The sequence below is a fragment of the Homo sapiens genome, chromosome 10 (genome assembly GCF_000001405.40).
Source record: "Homo sapiens chromosome 10, GRCh38.p14 Primary Assembly".
In the NCBI taxonomy this organism is placed as follows: Eukaryota; Metazoa; Chordata; class Mammalia; order Primates; family Hominidae; genus Homo; species Homo sapiens.
Window position 1 is genome coordinate 36,041,663 of NC_000010.11, and position 23,386 is coordinate 36,065,048.

The following is a 23,386-nucleotide window of genomic DNA, read 5'->3' on the forward strand; positions in this document are numbered from 1 at the left end:
ATCCCTTTTTCTAAGTTATAGCTCCTCATCACCCCATTCTCCCAAGCCCTAGGCAATCACTAATCTACTTTTTCTTTCTATAAATAGAATTTAATAAATTTTTTCATTCTGGAAATTTTATATTATCAGAATCATGTAATGTGTGATCTTTGTAACTTGCTTCTTTCACTTAGAATAACATCTGAAAGGCTCAGCCATGTTGTAGCATGTATCAGTACTTCATTAGTATCCATGGTCGAATAATACACCTCTGTATGGCTGTGCTGTGTTTTGTTTGTCCATTCCTCAGTTGATGGACATTCGGATGGTTTCCACCTTTTGGTTGTTCTAAATAATGCTGTTATAGATATTTGTGTATAAGTTTCTGTGTGAATGTATTTTCATTTCTCTAGGGTTTATGTCTATGGGTGGAATTGCTAGGTCTGATGATAACTCTATGTTTAAATAACCATTTAAGGAATGCTGCGGACAGAATTGTGTCCCTCCCATCCCCCCAAATTCATATGCTGAGGTTCTAACCCCCAATGTGACTGTATTTAGAGAAGGGGCCTTTGGCATAGAATTGGATTTAGATGAGGCCGTGAGGGTAGAGCCCTCATGTTGGGATTTAGTGTCCTTATAATAAGAGGAAGAGACACCAGAACTTGCTCCCTCTCTCTGCCGTGTGAGGAATTGGCTGACACCTCAATCTCAGCTTCTCAGCCTTTCCAGAACTGTGAGAAATATGTTTATCTTAAGCTGCCCAGCCTGAGCTGACCAAAACAAGGAACTATCACACTGTTTTCCAAAGTGGCTCTAGTGTGTGAGGATTAGGATTTCTCCACCTCCTTGTCAACACTTGCTATTGTCTTATGTTTTGATTATAGCTATTTTGGTGGGTGTGAAGTACCATCTTATTGTGGCTTAGATTTCCATTGATGACTAATGGTGTTAAGCATTCCTTTATGTGCTTGTTGGTCACTTGTATATCTTCTTGAAGAAGTGTCTAATAATTTTCCCATTTGTATTGGAGTTATGTGGATTTAATTATTTATTTGGAAGAGCTGTATAGTGTAGATACAAATGCCTTATGAAGTATATAATTTGCGAATATTTTCTCTCTGAGGATTGTGTTTCACTTTCTTGATGGTGTGTTTTGAAGCACAAAAGGTTTTAATTTTGATTAACTCAAATTATCTATTTTTTCTTTTGTCACTCATGCTTTTAATGCCATAGCTAAGAATCCATTGCAAACACTAGGTCATGAAGATTTACCTCGATGTTTTCTTCTAAGAGTTCTATAGTTTAACACTTACATTTAGGTCTCTGATCCATTTGAATTAATTGTCATATATGATGTGAGATAAAGGTCTGACTTCTTTCTTTTCATTTGGCTATCCAGTTTCCTCACATCATTTATTGAAAAGACTAGTCTTTCCCCATTGAATGATCTTGTGCCCTTGTCAAAATCAGTTGAAAATAGATACATGGCTTCATTTCTGAACTTTCAATTCTATTTCATTGATCTACAAGTCCCTCATTCTATTAGGACTACACTGTTTTGATTGCTTTTTGTCTGCAATGTAAGTTTTCAAAGAGTTGGAATGTGTGAACCCTCCAACTCTATTATTCATTTTCAAGATTATTTTGGCTATTCTGACTACCCTACAATTCCATATGAATTTTAGAATTAGCTTGACAAATTTTACAAAAAAGCTAACTGGGATTCCAATAGGAATTACATGGTAGGTTAATTCTGGAAATATTGCCATTTTAATAATGTGAATCTATAATATTGGTCTACAAATGTGAGATAGTTTTCCATCTATTATTTTCAATTTATTTCTATCTTTAAAAAATTCATTTCAACATTTTGTAGTTTTCAGATTATAAGATTTGTACCTCCTTGATTAAATTTATTTCTAAGTATTTTGATCTTTTTGATGCTATTGTAAATGAAATTGCTCTCTTAATTTCATTTTCTAATTATTCATTGGAAATGTGTGAAAATGCAATTGATTTTTCTATATTAATCTTGTATCCTGCAAGTTTGCTCTACTCTTTTATTAGTTCTAGTAGTTTTTCAGTGGATTCCTCAGAATTGTCTGTATACAAGATCATGTCACATGTGAATAGAAATTGTATTACTTATTCCTTTCCAATCTAGATGTATTTTTATTTATTTCTCCTGCCTAATTGCCTTTGCAAGAGCCTCCAGTACAATGTTGAATAGAAGTGGGTGAAGTGGCAAGATATAATATTCCTGTGTTTTTCCTGGTCATAAGGGGGAAGAATTCTGTCTTTCATTATTAATTATTACATTAACAGTGCATTTTTCATAGATGCCCCTTATCATCTTGAGGACTTTTACTTGTATTCCTAGTTTGTTGAGTATTTTTATCAAGAAAGGATGTTAGATCTGGTCAAATGTGTTTTCTCTGTCTATGATATAATCATGTTAATGTTATCTTGGTGTCTTTATTAAACTGATAAGATGTATTACATTAACTGATTTTTAGATGTTAAGTCAAACTTACATTCATGGGATAAATCATACTTGGTCATGATGTGTATTTCCTTTTATATGTGGCTGGATTCCACTATCTAGTATTTTGTTGAGGATTTTTGCATCTGTATTTATAAGGTATGCATGCTGGTGTATAGTTATTACTTGTGATGTTTTTGTCTGGTTTTGGTATCAGGATAATACTGTGTTCATAGAATGAGTTAAGAAGTCAGCTATTCTCTTCTATTTCTTGCAGGAGTTCGTGAAGAATGGGTATTAAATCTTTAGATGTTCAGTGGAATTCATTCATGAAGACATCTGAGACTGCACTTTTCTTTGTGGGTATTTTTTATTACTAATTAAATATCTTGTTATTGGTATATTAAGTTTGTATATTTCTTCTTGAGTCAGTTTCTGTAGAGCATGTCTTTTTAGGAATTTTCCATTTCATCCAAGTGATCTAATTTATTGGTAAATAAATTCCTTTAGAATCCTTTTTAATTCTGTAGGGTGGTACCAGTATCCCCTTTCATTTTTTTTTTATTTCAGTAATTTGACTCATTTCATGTTTTATACCCTCATCAATCTAGTTAAGGTTTGTCTATTTTATTTATCTTTTCAAAGAACTAGATTTTGGTTTCATGAATTGTCTCTGTTGGTTTTCTATTCTCTAATCTTTAGTAGTACTTCCTTCCCTGCACTTGCTTTGGGTTTAGTTTGTTCTTTGCTAGCACCTTATGGTGGAAAGTTAGGTTACTGATTTAAGATCTTTCTTATTTTTTAGTATAGGCATTTATAGCTATCAATTTCCATCTAACCTCTGCTTTATTCGCATCCCATAAGTTCTATATGTTGTTTTATTACATTTTCATTCATCTCAAATTGTTTTCTATTTTCCCTTTTGGTTTACCTAGGAGAGGGTTAATTTCCACATATTTGTCAATTCCCCAAATTTGTTTAAGATATTGATAACTAATTTCATTTAGTTGTGGTCAGAGAACATGCTTCTTACCATTTCGGTACTTTAAAGTTTATCAAGGTGTGTCTTATGGCCTAGCATATACTCTATCCTGAAGGAGTTCGCCTCTGTGTGCACTTGAGAAGACCAGGTGGTCTGTTGTTGGGTGGTGTAGTCTCTAGACGTATGTCAGGGTTAATGTGTTCAAGACTTCTGTTTCTTTGTGGTCTTTGCTTAGTTGTTCTATACACTCGTGAAAGTGGGGCACTGAAGTCTCCATTTATTATTGTTAAATTGTTTATTTCTTCCTTCGTTTCTGCTGCTTTTAATTCATGTATTTTGGTACACTGTTGTTACGGGTATACATGTTTCCAATTATTATATCTTCCTGATGAATTGACATTTTTATGATTATAAAATACTCCTGTTCATATCTAGTAATTTTTTTTGTTTTAAAGTCCATTTTGTCTGATATTAGTATAGTCACTCCAGTTTCCTTGCAGTTGCTGTTTGCATGATATATATACATATTTTATCATTTTATTTTCAATCTCTTTGTATCTGTGAATTAAAAGTGTGTCTCCTGAAGACAGCATGTGATTGGGTCTTCTTTCTTTGTCTAGTCTGACAATATCTGCCTTTTGATTGGATTTTTTAATCCATTCATACTTAAGTCTATTATTGATATAGTCGGCTTTTTTCATTTGCCACTTTACCTCTTATTTCCCACATGTCTCATGCCTCTCTTGTTCCTCTAATTCTTATATATTAGATAAAGCAAATATTTATCTAATGTAGCATTTTTATTTCTTAAATTTTTTTAACTTTTTAAGTTATTTCCTTAGTGGTTGCTTTATGACTTACCATACATGTATTAACCTATCATAATCAGCTTCGAATTTATACTAACTTAATTCCAGTATAAGAGACATTACTCCAATATAGTTTTATTCTTATTCTCTTTTCCTCCTTTTTTTTTTTTTTTTTTTTTTTGAGATGGAGTCTGGCTCTGTCATCCAGGCTGGAGTGCAGTGATGTGATCTCAGCTCACTGCAAGCTCCACCTCCCGGGTTCATGACATTCTTCTGCCTCAGCCTCCCTAGTAGCTGGGACTACAGGCACCTGCCACCACTCCCAGCTAATTTTTTGTATTTTTAGTAGAGACGGGGTTTCACCGTGTCAGCCAGGATGGTCTCGATCTCCTGACCTCGTGATCCACCCACCTTGGCCTCCCAAAGTGCTGGGATTACAGGCATAAGCCACCGCGCCCAGCCCCTTTTTCCTCCATTTTATGTTATCATTGTTATATTTATTACATCTATAAATGTTACAAGCCCAGTATTATATTCTTATAATTATGATATTATATAGATTTAAGTTTTAAGATGCTGGGAGAGGAAAACAGAGGATCTATATATTTTTAGCTTTTGTTATATTAACTTTCATTTTTGTGATTTCTGTATCTCTTCCTTTGCTCCTATGGATTTCAGTAACCATGTAGATTGATTTTGTTAGCCCAGAATAGCTTTGTTCCCACAACCTCCTTTGTCCTATTATTACAAATATATTTCCATATGTTATGGACCTAAAAATAAATTACATGCATTTTGTTTTATCAAGTTGCTTTTTAAACCAGTTGAGAAAGGAAAAGAGTAGACATATGCATTTATGCTTTTTTTTATAATTACATAATCATCATTGCCAGGGCTCTTTGTGTTTTCATGTATTTACCCTCTGGGATCACATACTTGTAGCCTGAAGAACTTTCTTTAGTACTTTTTGTAAGATAAATTGGCTAGCAACAAGTTCTTTCTTTTTGTTTATCTGGGAATGTCTTTATTTCAACTTAATTTTTGAAAGATAGCTTTGCTGGGAATAGAGTTGTCAGCCGACAGTTTTTTGCTCTGAGTGCTTTGCATATGCTATGCCATTGTCTCTGGCCTTCATTGTTTCTAATCAATACTCAGCTGTTAACTATAAAGATCCTGGAAGACAACCTAAGCAATACCATTCTGGACATAGGAATGGCAAAGATTTCATGAAGAAGATACCAAAAGCAATTGCAACAAAAGCAAAAGTTGACAAATGGGATCTAATCAAACTATAGAGCTCTGCACAGCAAAACAAACTATCAACAGAGTAAACAGACCACCTACAAAATGGAAGAAAATATTTGCAAACTATGTGTCTGAAAAAGGTCTAATATCCAGCATCTGTAAGGAACTTAAATTTACAAGAAAAAAGAAAAACAAACAACTCCATTAAAAAGTGGGCAAAGGACATGAGCAGTTTACAAAAGAAGGCATATGTGTAGCCAATAAGCATATGAAAAAATGCTCAACATCACTGATGATTAGAAAAATGCAAATCAAAACCACAATGAGATACCATCTCACACCAGTCAGAATGGCTATTATTAAAATGTCAAAAAATATCAGATGCTGGTTAAGTTGTGGAGAAAAAGGAACACTTACACACTGTTGATGGGAGTGTAAATTAGTTCAACCATTGTGGAAGACAATGTGGTGATTCCTCAAAGACCTAAAAACAGAAACAACATTCAACCCAGCAATCCCATTACTGGGTATATACCCAAAGGAATATAAATCATTCCATCATAAAGATACATGCACACGTATGTTGATTGTCACAATAGTAAAGATATGGAATCAATCTGAATGCTCATCAGTGGTAGACCGGATAAAGAGAATAAGGTACATACACACTGTGCAATACTATGCAGCCATAAAAAAGAATGAGATCATGTCTTTGCAGGAACATAGATAAAGCCAGAGGCCATTATCCTTAGCAAACTAAGGCAGGAACAGAAAACCAATTACCATGTGTTTTCACTTATAACTGGGAGCTAAATGATGAGAACATATGGACACATAGAGGGGAATAACACACACTGGGGCCTATTGGAAGGTGGAGGGTAGGAGGAGGGAGAGGATCAGGAAAAATAACTAATGGGTACTAGGCTTAATACCTGGGTGATGAAATAATCTGTACAACAAATCCCCATGACACAGGTTTACCTATATAACAAACCTGCACATGTACCCCTGAACTTAAAATAAAAGTTTTTAAAAATATTGTTAATAATACAAAAAAGCATTATGTTTAAAAAACTGTGTCTTAAGCATGATTAAACAGTTGAGTCCTAGTTTTAAAATGTCTATATATGAAATAATTGTCAGCAGAAATTTGAAAAACCCTAGGAACTGAAGCCTAGAGATATTTAATTGGATGCTTAAACTCTATGAGTCACAATGGACCTACAAAAATCCCTTGTGTCTACAGTTTAGTCATTCAGGTCAAACTGTCTAAAAAAAAAGTGAGGAGAAGGAAGGGATGGAGGGGCAGGAAAAGCTGTAAAAGAAAGAAATCAGCTACTATTCTTATTGGGTTTCCTATGTTAGTGAGAAGTCATTTTTACCTTGCTGCTTTTAGGACAGTGTGACATTAGGGCTTTAAAAGCTTAGTGCTCAATGGGTGGATGTGGCAGTGGCCTTAGGTCTTCTTGGCCTTCTTCTCTGAGTGTGAAGCCTCTACCTTTCCAGCTGAGACAAGGATGACTGGGGCTGGATAATTTTCAGCACTGCCAGACCCAAGGCAGAACCTCTGTCCCACAAGTGGGGGCTGAGTGGAAGAAAGAAGCCTTCATTTCTCGGCCTCACTCACCTAGAACTTAGCCTCAGCAATAGGTAGCTAAGGACTGCAAGGGAAATGGGGATGTCCTGCCCCTCCAGAGACGATAATCCTCTGAGGAACTGGGTGAGGAGCAAACCTCGTGTTCTTGGCTGCACTTCTCTGGGTTGGGTTTTCCATCTCCTTGAACTAGGAGGGGAGAGGGAGGGGGTGGGTCTTGGCACAAATATTATAGATTGCCACTGTTCTTACTGAGGTTTAGTAAGTTTTCTTGAATAAATATTTCTTCATTTGCTGTATGACCTTAGGATCATTTCCAGGGCTTTTAATTTTTATTTTTATAAAAAATAATTTTTACCAGTTTTGCTAAGAAATGGATCTTCAGAACTACTCATGCTACTGTGCTTGGAAGTGGAATCTCATTTCTAAAGTGCATCTGCCTCCAGATGGGCTATTAGTCCCATTGTCCAAAGCCAGAGATGTCCTACATATGAAATACATTATCCAGAGGAATGGAATCGCAGATTTCCTGTGCAACCTGCACGACACTGTTGCTTTACATGATTCCTTCTAGTTATGTATTATTGAATCTGGGAAGTCACAATGCAGGTCTTTCAAAATATAGATGACTTTTCAGAGAAAAAGCAGAGTTTGCTCGGAGCAGTTGGCAGCCTTCCTTGGGGGTGAGAAGTTGTGGGTGAACATGACTCTCAGTGACCTCTGGCTCACTAACCTCTGCCCCATCTCTGGTTCTGCCTCTTCAACTCCCATCTCTTTGCTGATGTTCACTCTAGAGGCTGGGGATCCATAATGCCTATGGCTCAAGGATGCAGTGGGGGGTGGATACTTCACACACAACTTATGAAAGCTCATCTTACAGTATCTTATTTAATTTTTTTAGGTTATGTCAAAATGTGGAGGATTAAAATAGCCCATGTGACAATGTCAAAGAGTTCCTGGTATTGAAATGGCTGAAATAGGAACACCAAGTCAAAAATGTTGCAAATATGTTCCACAGAGAGGATGTTTTTGGTGGCCTCTAGATTTGGGTGGGGAGGGATGAAGGTATGCATGCTGATGAGATGTTCTCTGAAGAGGATCAGTTTCAGGAAATTCAGGAAAGTCTGGAGGAAGAAACCGAGGCGTACATCACCAGCACCACACAAATCAGAGTTCACAAATGGCAAAGTTGGATGGCTTTTGAGAACTATGTCCTCCAGGAATTCTCAATGATTTCTTGTAGTCCACAATAAATGTTGGAAGATGGTGGTATCTTAGCTCTTCTGTTAATAAAACCTTTTAATGTAAATTTTTACACATTTTAAATATTTCTAGGGGGGCTGGAAGAGGAGAACATAACATATAGCATGCAGTATTCCATAGAACTAGTTAATGTGGAGAGTTACTGAAAAAAATGTAATGAGTGAAATAGTATTACTTTTATTTATTTAATGCAAAAAAAACCTACCCATCAGTTCCTCATCGAATTAGAATATACCTGATGTTACCCTCCTGAGAATTGTTGGATCCACTTAGAGGACTCAGGCTTTGAGTTTGACACACACTGCTTTGGACCATTTGCATTTCTTCATCCCACACATCTAGACTCTCAGGAGGTCAGGTTTTCAGAAGGAGAAGTTGAGGAGGCGCAGGCATTGTATCACTCACTACTTTCTTTAATTCAAATGCATTCCATGTCTCCTTATGTTGGAAGCTTCAATGACATTTTATCAGCTTGAGTATGCATGGCCCCTTAGCTTTCTGGCACTAAACGGAGAGAAATATTTAGAAATAAGTGAGTACTTTCTTGGAAATTCTACTTGTATATGATGGTGTAGGTAGATGAAGAGAATTACATCGGATTCCTGTAGCTAGAGTAGAGATACATTATCATTTGTTTGGAGATTCTAGTTCTTCTCCAACATAGTCCATATATTGAAATAAAAACACTTCCAGTTGATTGGCTAATATATACATATATACATGTCTATGTATACATATACAAGCATACACAAATACATATGCAAATATGTGTGCATGTCTGTATGCTAATGAAAGGCCAACAGTTTCTAAGTGACTACTAGTTAATTCATAGCTAAAATATTGCTGTCACCCTTTTTATGTTTTGTAACGCTTAGTAACTACGTGATAGGTACTGTATACAGAAAGGTTATGCAGCATGCTTTATTCTGTAGTTGTGATAGTGACTCAGTAAAGTTACAGTGAGACAATGTGATAATAATGAGAGCTGAAAATGCTGCAGTCCATTCAAAGCACGATTGTCAAACTGGAATGTCTTGAGTTGGTGTGTCGTTCTTTAAAATTTTAGGAAAATGTTAGGAATCATTTTAATGATTAATTCATGGTAAAGTAGCAAACATTCTTCTATTCCTGGTTCTCTCAAAGGTCATTTGTCAATCTATTTTTATTTTAAAATAATGTGTGTGCAGCATATACTTCATTAGGAAGGACATTCAGAGAGGTTTCTAGATGAGAATAAAATGAATTCAGGCACTTATTCAGAATGAGGCCAGATGTTTTCCCAGGAGTCTTGCATTCCTAACCACAAGCCAGTGTCTGCCAGATTTGAGTGTTAGGTCTCAAAAACTAAACACCCCGCGCTTAATGCAAATTAAATTAGAATGAGAAAAGTAATTATCCAGGACTTACAACGGCCAAGTAAAGAAATGAGATGACTGCCCTTCATACAAGGAGGTGCTGCTGATCTGCTATTAACAAGGTAAGTTCCCTGAGATATTTTTCCTGGGTTGTGGTCACAAGGGACAGTTCTGAGCTAGCCATGTCTTCTCAGGCTTCCCGTTCCCTTTTTCCTAAAGGTACACTTGAGAAAACAGCTGGATGGGCTTAAGGAATAACTTCCTCTACAAAAACTGCCTAACAGGAGATGTGGCTTAGTGCATCTACAAAAATAAGCATTGGCCTATGTGCTGAAAATAGTTCTGCTAGGTGGGAGGGCAGGTGGAGGCCACGCTGATAAAATGTAGGGCAATCTTGGTCAAACAAATCATGTATTGGGCCGAAAACATTTTCTGCTTCTGACTTTTTTGTTTGTTTGTTTCCATAGGAATTTGGCAGGGAAGGGAGACTGAGGAGAGGGAAGCTGATGATTTAGTGCATTTGCTTAATGTTGATCATATATTTATCAGAGCAAGTACTGATCTCACATCCTGAAGATTTACTGCACAGTTGAACAGGGTGGAGGAGACTCAAGCGCGTTCTGGTGGGAACCCATCATAATGCTGAAATCTGAGGTTGGATCTAATTCCCATGTAAATCAAGCTTGCTCTGGATGTTGCTTTTTGTGCAGTGGGGGACATGGTTTTGTTTGGGTTATATTTGAACCGCACTGTATCATAATAAAAAGCCAGAATTAAACGTCATCTGCAAGAAGGCATTCATTCTCAGATTCAGGTATAGAATTTTAGAGCTGGAAAAGATATCTGGTTTGAGTGCCTGATTTTATAAATAGAAAACTAAGGGACTTGCCCAAGGTCACACAGCCATGAGCATCCCTCCCCAGATAACACAATAGCTTTTAGTACCTTGGGAGACATTATCTTTTAGGCAGACTCTGAAAAGTATCCGTTTTGAAAGAGCTTAGCTTTTTTTTGGCTTTAATCCTCACTTGAACGGTTTCTCTAATGCCTGTTTTTTTCTCGAACAACCATGAACACATCAATCAGATTTCTTGAATCTTTTATCCCTGCACAACACACTAGGCACATTGTAGCAATTACAAATCTCAAAGGATACAGCTACAGGACTAATTTTCTGATAGTATAAAACATGATATAATTTTCAAACATGACATACAAACCATCTGAGTTTGTTGTGGGAGGTATACACGCCTCGAATGTAAACTTATACTTCAATAGTTAAGGATCCATCAGAAAATGCAATTGCATATGTTTATATGTTTATATTCCTCCTTTGGAATCTTCCACTCTTCTCAGTTCTTATGAACTTGAGCACGGTAGAATTTGGTGAGAACCTCTGCTTAATTTGTTGTATATTAAATAAGTGTTTATGAACTGTTTGCTATGCACCTGACCCTCAATTTTACCATATGAGATTGCTAAGACTCAAGGCCAAAATGAACGGAGTGTGTTTTCCAGAGGAACCAAATTTTAGAGCAGGAAGGGACATTCAAGATCATGAGGCCACTCATGCAAGATGCAGAAACGGGACCAGATTGTTAGCATTCAGGCTGCATTCCATTCCATCACACCTGTGTCTCCCTTCAGTTCATGTCTTCTTATAGGATAAAATTATTTCATGAGTGATCATTTAAATGACAGGTTTAGGACAGGTTCTATTGACTTGGGCAAAAGGCATCTTGTTCTTGATAAGTTCGCATTTAAATATGTTTTGTAGGATTGTTTTCAAAACTAAAGACCTACTTTCTTATAAAATTGAAAAAGATAATAATTTGAATCAACTTGGTTATAGGAAGACAGCAATAGCATCTTGTAAATATATTTCTAAAGAGGAGAGAGAAATAGAGAATCATCCGTGTGAGCACGTTTCACTGAGAAAATGAAATTTAGGTCGTGAACCTTCAGGTCTTGCCATGTGGGCTTGATTGCTGAACGTACACGGAAAATCCTGTTAGCATGGGAGGAGACATACTTGACATCTGACTTAGCCCTTATTTCATAGATAAGAACAGGGAGTCCCATATGAGTTGTGACTTACCCAAGATCACATGGCCATTTAGTGGCAAAGCACATTGTTTCAAACCTCTGATGTCCATTCAACTGTTAGCTCATGTACTGTGCCCCCACCGCAGTCAAATATTCCAACAATCTTAAAAATACGAGCTACCTGAACATGGTCTTGACCATTTTGGTCTGAATCAAAGGAGCTCTCTAATAGTCCTGATGTTAGAGGGTGAATTTGAAACTTGCAATCTCTGGGTGCCTCCTTCAAGCTCCAGATCATTGTTTCTTATCAGACTGCCTTTACTGAGAAACTCAAACTTTTAAGTAATACTGACTGCATTTAATTGTTCTTTAGAATTCAGTCAGATTCCTCCGTAGAGAATGTGAATCCCAGCAGGTATCTTGACCAAACTACAATCTTCGCCTAATCTAAGCTTTCATTTAAAGTTTTTCTATAAAATATGAATTTGTGAATGGGAGTTGATGGCTGGAGGCTGGGGAGTTTCAGGATATTGAATGAGCTGTCACATTACCATAACCTGATTTAGATTCCCCAGAAGGCAATTGTGACTGGAATTTTCTGGGCTGAAATGATGATGGGAGAGTTTTACGTAGAGAGGATATGACAGACTCAGCCTGAGGAGTGACTGTAAGGGGAACGAATTGTGACTGGAGGTGAAATTCAGGGGTATATAAAGGAATGCTTTGGGGCAGGGGCTACATTATGGGGAAAAAGGAAAGATAAATTTGGAATTTTGAGGGCATAGAAAATTTTAGGATCAGAATTACTTGTAGTGCATGGATGCGTTGAATCATAAATGATGAATTTTAAAAAATACAGTCACACATCAGTCATTGCAGTAAAGTAGCTGAGGTTTTTTAAAAACAATGATACCATTCTAGAACTTTTTTAGAAGCAAAAGCTTAAATCTCCAATGCTACTGTCAATCTTTGGTCTACACTTAAAAATTCCAAATTAAGGGAAGAACTAATTAGTGGTAGATCTCTTGGAATTGAATTATCTCAGGCAGCAGCTCAAGAATCTTTCTTGTTCATAGGGAAATTCTTGCAGGGAATTCATGATCTCGCTTGCTTTAATCTACTCCTGCTGGTTGTAAGGAGTGCAACGACGATGTTCCTTAGTATTTACTTGCTCTGCTGCCCCCAAGGTCACTCATTCTGTTTCGCAAACGTGGCTTTGGCTCAGGGCTGCCTCACTGTGTCCTCTTGATGGGGCAAATGAGATCTAGAGAAGCCAAACTTCCCTGAGGTCTCAAGCCCACTAGGCCTGAAGTAAACAGCTAATGGTGTGTGAGGGCTTACACTATGCCCAGTGCTTTTACATGTATTAACCAGTTGAGGTCTCAGGATTCCTCATTTGCCACCCCTACTCTGAAATGAGGAAAGTTTAAAAACTTGCCCCAGGCCACTCAGGTAGGATATGTGGTGGATCTGAGAGTTGAAGCCAAGCAGTCTTTTTTTTTTTTTTTTAATTGTGGCAAGAACATTTAACATGAGATTTACCCTCTTAACAAAGTTGTAAGTGTAAGATACAATATTGTTAGCTATAGGCACGATGTTGTACGGCAAACTTCTAAGACTTAATTAGCTTACATGACTAGAAATTCATACCCATTGAAGAGCAACTCCTCATTCCCCCTTCCCTAAGCCCATGGTACCACTATTCTAGTCTCTGCTTCCATGTGTTAGAATATTTTAGATTGACTATATGTGGAATCATGCAGTATTTGTCCTTCTGTGCCTGGCTTGTTTCACTTAGCGTAGTGTCTTCTAGGTTTATGTATGTTGTTGTATATGACAGGATTTCCCCCTATCAAGCTCAGTCATATCCCATTATATGTATATGCCACTGTTGCCTTATTCAATCCTCTGTCCTGGGCATTAGCAGTGTGATTGCACAGCTCTGAATTACATCCAGTACCAGGTTTCCTGAATCCTTTCACCTGCACCTAGCTTCTGTTTCTTCAAGAAATTTCAAATAGGAAATCGCTTCCCTTGCCTTCAGAAATGGGAATAATTGTTCAAATCACATTTGTCTTATTTTCCCACATTTACGTCATGCCCTGGAATTACTATTTCATTGTAGGGATTTCCTTATTAATAAGTAAGTTTTCTGAGCTGTTCCCTTGAGTAGCTGAATTTACAAAAGATCTGCCAGTAACCAATGGTCAGGCTTCTCCCCTTAGATTGAAAACTCAAGACTAAACCAAAGATTGGTGATAGAAATGGTGGGGGTGGGGGGGAGTTTAAGCTTTTGCTCCTAGAAAGTTCTAAAATGGAATTGTTTCATTAACACCTCAACTACCTGATGCATGTGACTGTACTTTTCAACTCACAGATTTTTATTTAATGCCCCCGCCACATGATCTCCGAATCCTGAAATTACCTATCTGCTCATATTTCCAAGTTAAGCTCTCCATTATTGGTTCTAGAATTAGTCCATTCTTCTCATCTCTACAGTCAAAAGAAACTCTTGGAAGAGTAAAGACTAAAAAACAAAAAAGGGAGTACAAATACCAGAAGATACTAAACAAATTCATGTCCCAACTTGTTGTTCTAAAGCAAATAAATTATGCCACATGTAGTTGCTTTTCGTTGCCAGCCAGATCCAGAGATAGCCCATGGTTTCCTCTGCAGTCTAATCTGAAAAATACATGCATATAACTATATTATTGAGTAAGATACCCAGATTAGATTTTATTCACTCACATTCATTTATTTGTTTGATACATTTACTAAATCTCTAGCCTGGCTTGTGCAGGACAGTTCCTGCTCAAAGAGCACAAGTCAACACCAACCACGATGCCTTGGAACAGGGAGGAAGATTTCAAATAAGAAGTTATCTCTACAGTTTTTATTAATTTACTTTTGTAGATGGGGGGAAAAGTATGATTTCCTCAACTTACGAGCAATTGCATGCCAATAGCTTATTTAAAAATTGGCTGTTTGGAGCCCAGCACATATTTTCTTCCACGGAAACAATGGCACACATGTTCACTAGCCTCGCCAGGTGGGATCACAGAAATGGGACCTGGGCAACATTGTTATGCTAGTATTGTTGCCTCCACTTTTGAGTCCTAGTCGCAGTGAAGAGGAGGGCAGTAAGAAACCCAAAAGGAGGAGGGTAAGAAAGAGGATGGAGTGGAGCCTGCCGTGTTGGAGGTAACATGGTCTGACCTTGACCCTGGGCAAGTCTCTTTATCTTTCTAAGCCTCAGTTTTCTTATCTGTGAAAGAGATATTACCTAATCCTCAAAAGCATGGAATATCAGCCAAAGTGTCTGGTCCCTCCTTTCCTGGGTTTGAGGGTAGCTCCAGGAAGCAGCTGGAAATAGGAAATTGACATTCTTAAAAGATTTCTGCAACTTCTTCATTTTTCAGTGTTTCTGGACTTCTCCATCTACATTAACCAAAATTAGCCCATTCCCTAAAATTATCTTTCACCAAAATTACCTACCTACCCTTTCCAGCTTTTCAAAACTCTGAGTAACTCAGGATTGTTGGTCTCAGCTAGGTGTCAGGAGGAAAGCAATCTGATCGAATCAACCCACACAAGTGCATGCAGAGCTTGACAGTCTCTGAACTCTCCTAGAGTTAGTTGCATTTTGGGGGGGAAGAAAAGCCTCTGCTTATTATCCAAAAAGCATGTCCCAGTGATGTGATTTTAGCCAGCGTGCCAAAGTGTAGTCAAAACTTCAGGCACAGTGGGGGGAAGATATTTTTGGGCTGGGGAAGGTCAGCTCGTTCTGTGCATCTGTCCCTGGCCAGCTCCATGCTGCCTTGCCTTTTTCACAGTACCTTCCCTTTCTTTACTTCTGAACCTCCAATTCCTCTCATGCTTTTTGCCTACCCAGAATGGCTTTTTTTGGCAGCCACCCCAGGGATCCCTGAGGTGAGGAGATGACGGGAGGAAGGGGCATTTGCACATGCTGTTCATTTTTCTGAGTCATTTCTAGGTTGGGGTTGTTTCTACTAGCATTTCGGATACTCTTTATAATGCTGTGATAATGGCTATGTGGTTGTTTAGATATGAGTCTCGATAGAAATATTCATTGGCAGTGAATTCTATAAATTATTGGAACTTCTGAAGATTCTCCAGTGGCCTTAGAAGTAAGTTTTGTAAGAGTGATTGTCTTACAAATATTTTTTTTACCAGACTGCAAACCTTTCTTGTTTGAAATTGGTATGGGTCTTGGAGACTTATTTTGTCTTCTTCCTTAAATTTAAATATAAGAAAACCAAATCCCAGAAAGGTAAACATGAACAGCCTCTATAGTTACTCTTGTTCTCATTTCGAGAACAGATGTGGGGTGACAGTGATTAAGTTGGTCCATATTGTCCATACCAACTTGAAAGCACGTTCCTCCCCAGACGTTAAGCTTAAAAAAAAAAAAAGATTGGTGGGTCAAGGAAGTCAGAGGGCTAATTAAATGGCAAGTTGTCTGAGGTTTGAGGCAAGGCATCAGGAAGGGAAACCCCCACATCTGCATGTCCAGAGCTGTTAGCAGAAGGTCATGAGAATATCACTAAACTCCTTGCTCACAGTAGCTGTATTAGTTTGTTTTCATGCTGCTGATAAAGACATACCTGACACTGGGTAATTTATAAAGAAAAAGAGGTTTAATGGACTCAGAGTTCCACATGGTTGGGGAGGTCTCACAATCAGGGCGGAAGGCAAAAGCATGTCTTACATGGCAACAGACAAGAGAGAATGAGAACCAAGCAAAAGGGGTTTCCCCTTATAAAACCATCAGATCTCATGAGACTTACTACCATGAGAACAGCATGGGGGAAACTGCCCCCATGATTCCATTACCTCCTCCACCAGGTCCCTCCCACAATACATGGGAATTATGGGAGCTATAATTCAATATGAGATTTGGGTGGGGACACAGCCAACCCATATCAGTAGCAGTGGCTGGAAGACGTTGAAATGGCACTGAAGGAATCGTTCTGGGAGCTCAGCCTGTCTCTCACAGGGTTACTGCCTAACACCACACCATTTTGCTGCCTGACATTCCCTCTTCATTTGCTAATTTAGAAAATTGCAATTTGTCAAAAAGAGCTGAAAATACTTCACTTTCAACCTCACAGAGTGAATGGGGGTATCAAACAAGGTCATCTATGTGAAAATATTTTAGAAACCAAGAGTGCAGACCAGTGCAAGCTGTTCTCACCATGCTGACCATTTTATACATGGCTTTTTCACTCCATCTTTTCTCCATCAGAATTGATTAAACTCTTTTCTTCAGGCTGGCGTAATTCTCAGGATGTCAATCCACTAGTAGCGGTCCTTTTTTTTTTTTTTTTTTTATGGCTGGGACTTAAATGCACTGCCAGGGGGAGTGTGGAGGTCAGAATCAAAGCTTAGTAGATTTCCAGTTATCACTGCTCCTTCACATTCCTCTGAAAAGTGCAGGACATTGGGCAGATGCTCTTGTGCCTGCTGGGGATATCTGACCCTGAAAGTAGTGAAAAAACTAAATTAAGATTTTTTTTTATTGTGCCTCTAGCAAAAACAGTTACCAAACCAGTCAAGTGTTGGTGTGACTGGCACCTGCAGTGGTAATTGGGATTCTAGGAAAGTTCTTAGAACATTTGCCTTCTTTTAAATAAAATGTTTTAATTATACTTCATGATTCCTGATCTTCCACAGGGAAAACAATTTCATTTTTCTTGGTGAGTCCTTGAACCTCCACTTCTCTCTTACTTGGCATTTTGAATTTAGTCAAATATTAATCATTGCAAAGAAATTCAGGAGGAACAAACTCATTTTCACTGCTGTGGCCTTCACTGTAACAGTTCTTGACCCGTGCTGTCCAAATTTCATGTTATAAATGATGATTTCCACATTATTTGAAAAGTATATATAAGTATGACCCAGTCAATTATGAAAACTACCCAAGAATGTATCTTCATGGCTGTAACTTTTTTTGGGAATATGCTCAGTTTTTAAATTTTACTACTACTCCTATTGTATTAAATACATGCTAGATTTGACTTCCTTATGATTCATTTTAAAATTACCCAATTAAATAACAGACATTGCATGAATTTTATTTTCTAAAGTATGTGAGTTAAGAAATTTAAAAACAAATCACCATTTGTCTAATATTTTGCTTAAATCTATTTCAAGGCTTTATAGAAGTAATTCACAATGTTTCCATTGACCTTGATGATGCATATTGCAAAAATCTATCCACTTATAAATATTTTTAACAATTCACAGAACAAGAATCTTCTTGTGGATTTTCCAGTCCAATACTAGGTGGGATGGAGCAAGGGATAGTGTATATCATAGAGGAGGTATCAGCTGCTGGAAACAGAATCCAGGCAAGGACAAGGCAAGGGTGAAGAGCATACAGCAGCTGGGACCCAGATAGAGGGGAAGAGACTGCAGGATATGAGTGACATGCATCAGGGAAGCAAAAATAGACTAATCACATTAAGGAGGGAAGTGGGTCAAGACCCCTGTGATCACATCACACCACTGGAGGTGCTTTTAACCCAGCTTCAGCTATAGTGCAACTTTAATGAATGCTATGGGGCTTCTTCCCGAACATGTACAATTTACTTGCAGTTTGTGGACATTCATGGTTTTTTGATGGTGATCTGCAAACCACTAAGTATTCATAACCCCCCAACATGAAAACTGTTATTTTTATGCAAGATCTTTTTTACTTAGTTAATTGTGTTCATTCTAATAATGCTATAAAGAAGTACCTGCAACTGGGTAATTTATAAAGAAAAGAGATTTAATTGTCTGGTTATGCAAGCTGTGCAGGAAGCATTGTGGCTTCTGGGGAGGCCTCAGGAAACTTTTGATTGTGGTGGAAGGTGAAGGGGAAGCAGGCACGTCTTACATGGCTGGAGCAGGAGGAAGAGACAGAGTGGGGAGGGGCTACACACTTGTAAACCATCAGATCTGGTGATAACTCACCCTTGCCATGACAACATCATGGGGGACAGTGTTAAACCAGGAGAAACAGCCCCCATGATTCAATCACCTCCCACCAGGCCCCACCTCCAACATTGGGGATTTCAATTTGACATGAGAGTTCCGTGGAGACACAGATCCAAATGATATCAGTAATCTACATCTTACTGCATGGCCAATGTTGAAGGCTGATTAGCCTATACTGGATAGATCCAATCCTTAAGATAAATCAGGCACATTCCAAGGCTTCTGGGTCCACTAGAGACTTCTATAACCTCTTGCTATTCCTTTCACTTATCTGAAAAACCCAAAACAAAACAAAAACAAAATAAAACAAAACTTAACAACCCAGACAGGGAAAAAGACTGATAGTTTTCTAAGGCTGCTCAGTTGCAAACCCTTCTTTTTTTTTTTTTTTTTTTTTTTTTTGACAGATTCTTGCTCTGTTGCCCAGGCTGGAGTACAGTGGCGTGATCTCGGCTCATTGCAACCTCCATCTCCCAGGTCAAGTGATTCTCCCACCTCAGCCTCCTGAGTAGATGGGATTACAGGTGCGCACCACCACGCCCGGTTAATTTTTGTATTTTTAGTAAAGACAGACAAACCCTTCTTTTTGAGCCTCCATTAGCAATGTAAAAAGTGAGTGTTAGGAACATGAGTGGAATTTTGAGGATATTTTCTGTTTTGTGTTATTCAGCCTGATGTGGTGCTGTTGCAGAGACCTTCATATACATTCTGGGCATTCACATGTTGCTCTACATCCAGGCCTCAAAGACCTCAAAGTAGGTCTTCAATAACCTACATAAGCTGTGTTTTGTGATTATTCAGCCCTGGACTGCAGGAGGCCTCTCAATATGAAGGTGACAGGGCCAATATTTTGGATCCACACTTTGGTCAGATACTAGTTTTCCTATAGTCTATATTCACTTAAATAAAGCAGGAAAATGAATAATTTATAAAAAATAATTTAGATCAAGCATGCTCTTTCACCCGAGATACTTCAACATAATTGAGTGAGTTGCTGAATTTTATTCAAATATTTTTACCATCTCACATACGGGCTTTTTAAAAATAGCTCATTGTATGCAATGCAGTTAAGACAATACTTATGTTATTTTTTTCCCTTCTGAAGTTAGAGAATGTTCATTTTGAATTCATTTCTTTAAAATTGTGACATTTACATTGAAAAGAAACTGATATTTGTGTTTATGCAACACAGTATTTTTATTAATTGCATATGCAAGTAACATCTTTTTTTAATTTTATGATTATTATACTTTAAGTTTTAGGGTACATGTGCACAATGTGCAGGTTAGTTACATATGTATACATGTGCCATGCTGGTGTGCTGCACCCATTAACTCGTCATTTAGCATTAGGTATATCTCCTAATGCTATCCCTCCCCCCTCCCCTCACCCCACAACAGTCCCCTGAGTGTGATGTTCCCCTTCCTGTGTCCATGAGTTCTCATTGTTCAATTCCCACCTATGAGTGAGAATATGCAGCGTTTGGTTTTTTGTTCTTGTGATAGTTTACTGAGAATGATGATTTCCAATTTCATCCATGTCCCTACAAAGGACATGAACTCATCATTTTTTATGGCTGCATACTATCCCATGGTGTATATGTGCCACATTTTCTTAATCCAGTCTATCATTTTTGGACATTTGGGTTGGTTCCAAGTCTTTGCTATTGTGAATAGTGCCGCAATAAACATACGTGTGCATGTGTCTTTATAGCAGCATGATTTATAGTCCTATGGGTATATACCCAGTAATGGGATGGCTGGGTCAAATGGTATTTCTAGTTCTAGATCCCTGAGGAATCGCCACACTGACTTCCACAATGGTCGAACTAGTTTACAGTCCCACCAACAGTGTAAAAGTGTTCCTATTTCTCCACATCCTCTCCAGCACCTGTCGTTTCCTGACTTTTTAATGATTGCCATTCTAACTGGTGTGAGATGGTATCTCATTGTGGTTTTGATTTGCATTTCTCTGATGGCCAGTGATGGTGAGCATTTTTTCATGTGTTTTTTGGCTGCATAAATGTCTTCTTTTGAGCAAGTAACATCTTTTAAAGAATTTTCAAAGATATAGGCCAGGCGCGGTGGCTCACGCCTGTAATCCCAGCACTTCGGGAGGCTGAGGCGGGCAGATCACCTAAGGTCAGGAGTTTAAGACCAGCTTGGCCAACATGATGAAACCCTGTCTGTACTAAAAATATAACAAAATTAGCCGGGTGTGGTGGTGTGTGCCCGTAATCCCAGCTACTCAAGAGGTTGAGGCAGGAGAATTGCTTGAACCCAGGAGGCGGAGGTTGCAGTGAGCTGAGATCACATCACTGCACTTCAGCCTGGGCAACAAGAGTGAAAACTTCATTTCAAAAACAAAAAAGTTTTAAAAAAGACAAACCAACATCTTTTAGGGACCTCTAGATTTCATGTGATTCTCTGCAGTATTCACCTGAGTAAGAGGGCATTTTGTTTTTCTTAATTATCTCCCTCAAAAAGCATGATCACCCCAGTATCCAACCCTGTGCCTACCTCATCCCATAACCCATGTTCTTGTTATTATTCTTCTACTGTCAAATAAGTTGGTCATTGTGTTCCTTATTTAAAACTTCATGTGCCAAGTTTCAGTCTATTTGGAACTAGGAAAAGGTTTTTCTTCTGCCGAGTTGTGGTAATTTTACCAGGCAACCTTCTGTGCAAAAGTCCTTTTTTGGAATCACAGTTCCAAGTTCTGCTCTAGAAATAGACCCACTGAGTTCAGGTCCTGCTCTATTTCTTAGAAATCATGTAAATTATTTAATTCCATTAAACTCTCCTTCCCACGTCTGGATTAAGTGAGATAATGCATGAACATTTAATAGATGCAAATACTCAAAAAACAGAACCTAACACAATTATATTCGATGAACAATTATTTACTTAGTTTAGGCTTTGTATCATTGTTAATCTCACTTATCCATGCCTTTTGGGGAACAGACATTTCTTTTTCCTTTTCTAAATAATCACTCACAGTATTTGTCGGGACTGGCTAGGATAAGCCCCAAATCCCCTCAAATTTCTGTGGTTTAGCAAAATCAACAAAGAGCCCTGAGCAGGTTGGCAGGGAGACTCCATCAGAAGTCTAAGTGGATGTGGGCTCCACTCCCTCATCCTTGGGAGTACACGTTGTCCTCAGTTGAAGTGTCAGGGGAGCAGAGAACCCAGGCTCACACATGGGCTTTTCATTGCCTACACTAGAAAGTGGCACCTGTCACCTTCCTTCCCATTTCACTGGCTCATACGAGTCACACAGCGTCACTCAGCAGCCCAGAGCTGAGAGCAGCATCCTTCGCATGCCCGGGAGGAAAGCTGGTGAGATAGCCTCGGCAACATCTCCCTCAAATCCCTTGAATAACACCTATCTTCTCAATCCTGCCTTTCTGTATTATTTTTGTCTTATTCTGTGTGTGTGTTTTATTGTAAACTACTTCAAGTCTTTTTCATGAAAAGAGCCCGTGGGAAACAACCTCCTGAGATTTTACGGGGAAGCTGGCTTTGTTTACCATTTTGCCATTTCTACTTCATATCATTATATTATTTGAGGATACTTTCTTTGACACGTGGAGTCTACTGTGTTTTATTAGACACAACATATCTATTGTGTTTTATTAGATGCAAGTGACTTATGCCTTGAGAATTTAACCATCTTCCAGAACTGTTCCACCAAAAACTCATCCTCAGATTTCCTAGAGTTAATAGTAATGGTTTACATTCTTTGTAAAAGTGAATACTTTCTGAGCCTAAAAACCTAATGGAAAAAGATTAATCTCCATGTAGCAATGGTGATAATGCACTGTCATAAAACCAGTAGACTCAACGTTCATGTAATCAGCAAAATCCAACCTATTTTAGTTGTGGATAGGAACCATGAAAAACAAACAAGCTTATAAAACCCCCAAAGAGCATTGATTGTAAAACATGCACTTGAACAACACCAACACCAACTAGGAAATCCTCACAAGTTTATGGTCTTGAAAATACAAATAATGTGGTTCAGTTTGAAAAGAGATTCCAAACATCAAATGCTTCATCTATTTTCTTCTTTTTTTGTTTTAAGGATGAATCTGTAAACATGTTCACGCTCAGCCTGTCTTATTATTTTTGCTTCCACGTGGTCAGAAACACAAGAGGAGTCTTATTTCTCAGGATATTTTGAAATTTAAGTTTCAAACCCTACTGTGAAACAGGCATGGTAGAAACAGACAAAAACAAAGAGCTTATTGTCATAATTTTTTTTTTTGGAAAAAATGTAAGAATGATTGAATCATGTACTTGATGTAAATTTGGGTACTTAGGAGGTAAGAGCTATTCCAAGGCATTAGGCAGTGGGCAGCTGGCCATGGTCCCCTCACCTCCTGTGTCCGGGACTGCTGCTCCTTCCACAGAGAGGGTGCACATGCAGACAGGGCCGAGTCCTTTTGAGCCTGTCACGAGCAGCGTGAGGTTCTGTGCAAACACGCAGAAGCCCCTGGCTACTCCTTCTCCCTTACACACAAACATACAGCCTATTTACAGATCATGTGGATTTTGCCTCCAAAGCCCCACTTGTACTGCTCCTGTTCTTTCCATGGTCACCAGCCAAGTTCAAACCACCATCCTG

At 38.2% G+C, this 23,386-nt stretch overlaps 1 long non-coding RNA gene across 1 annotated transcript in view; it reads left to right on the top strand.

Annotated features, from left to right (window-relative positions):
* Positions 1-2,741: 2,741 nt before the first annotated feature.
* Positions 2,742-23,386, top strand: part of LOC107984222 (uncharacterized) — a 28,038-nt gene continuing 7,393 nt past the window's right edge. Inside the window, exon 1 of the long non-coding RNA XR_001747423.2 lies at positions 2,742-2,823. This is a non-coding gene — a long non-coding RNA (uncharacterized LOC107984222). The remainder of the gene's footprint in view (positions 2,824-23,386) is intronic.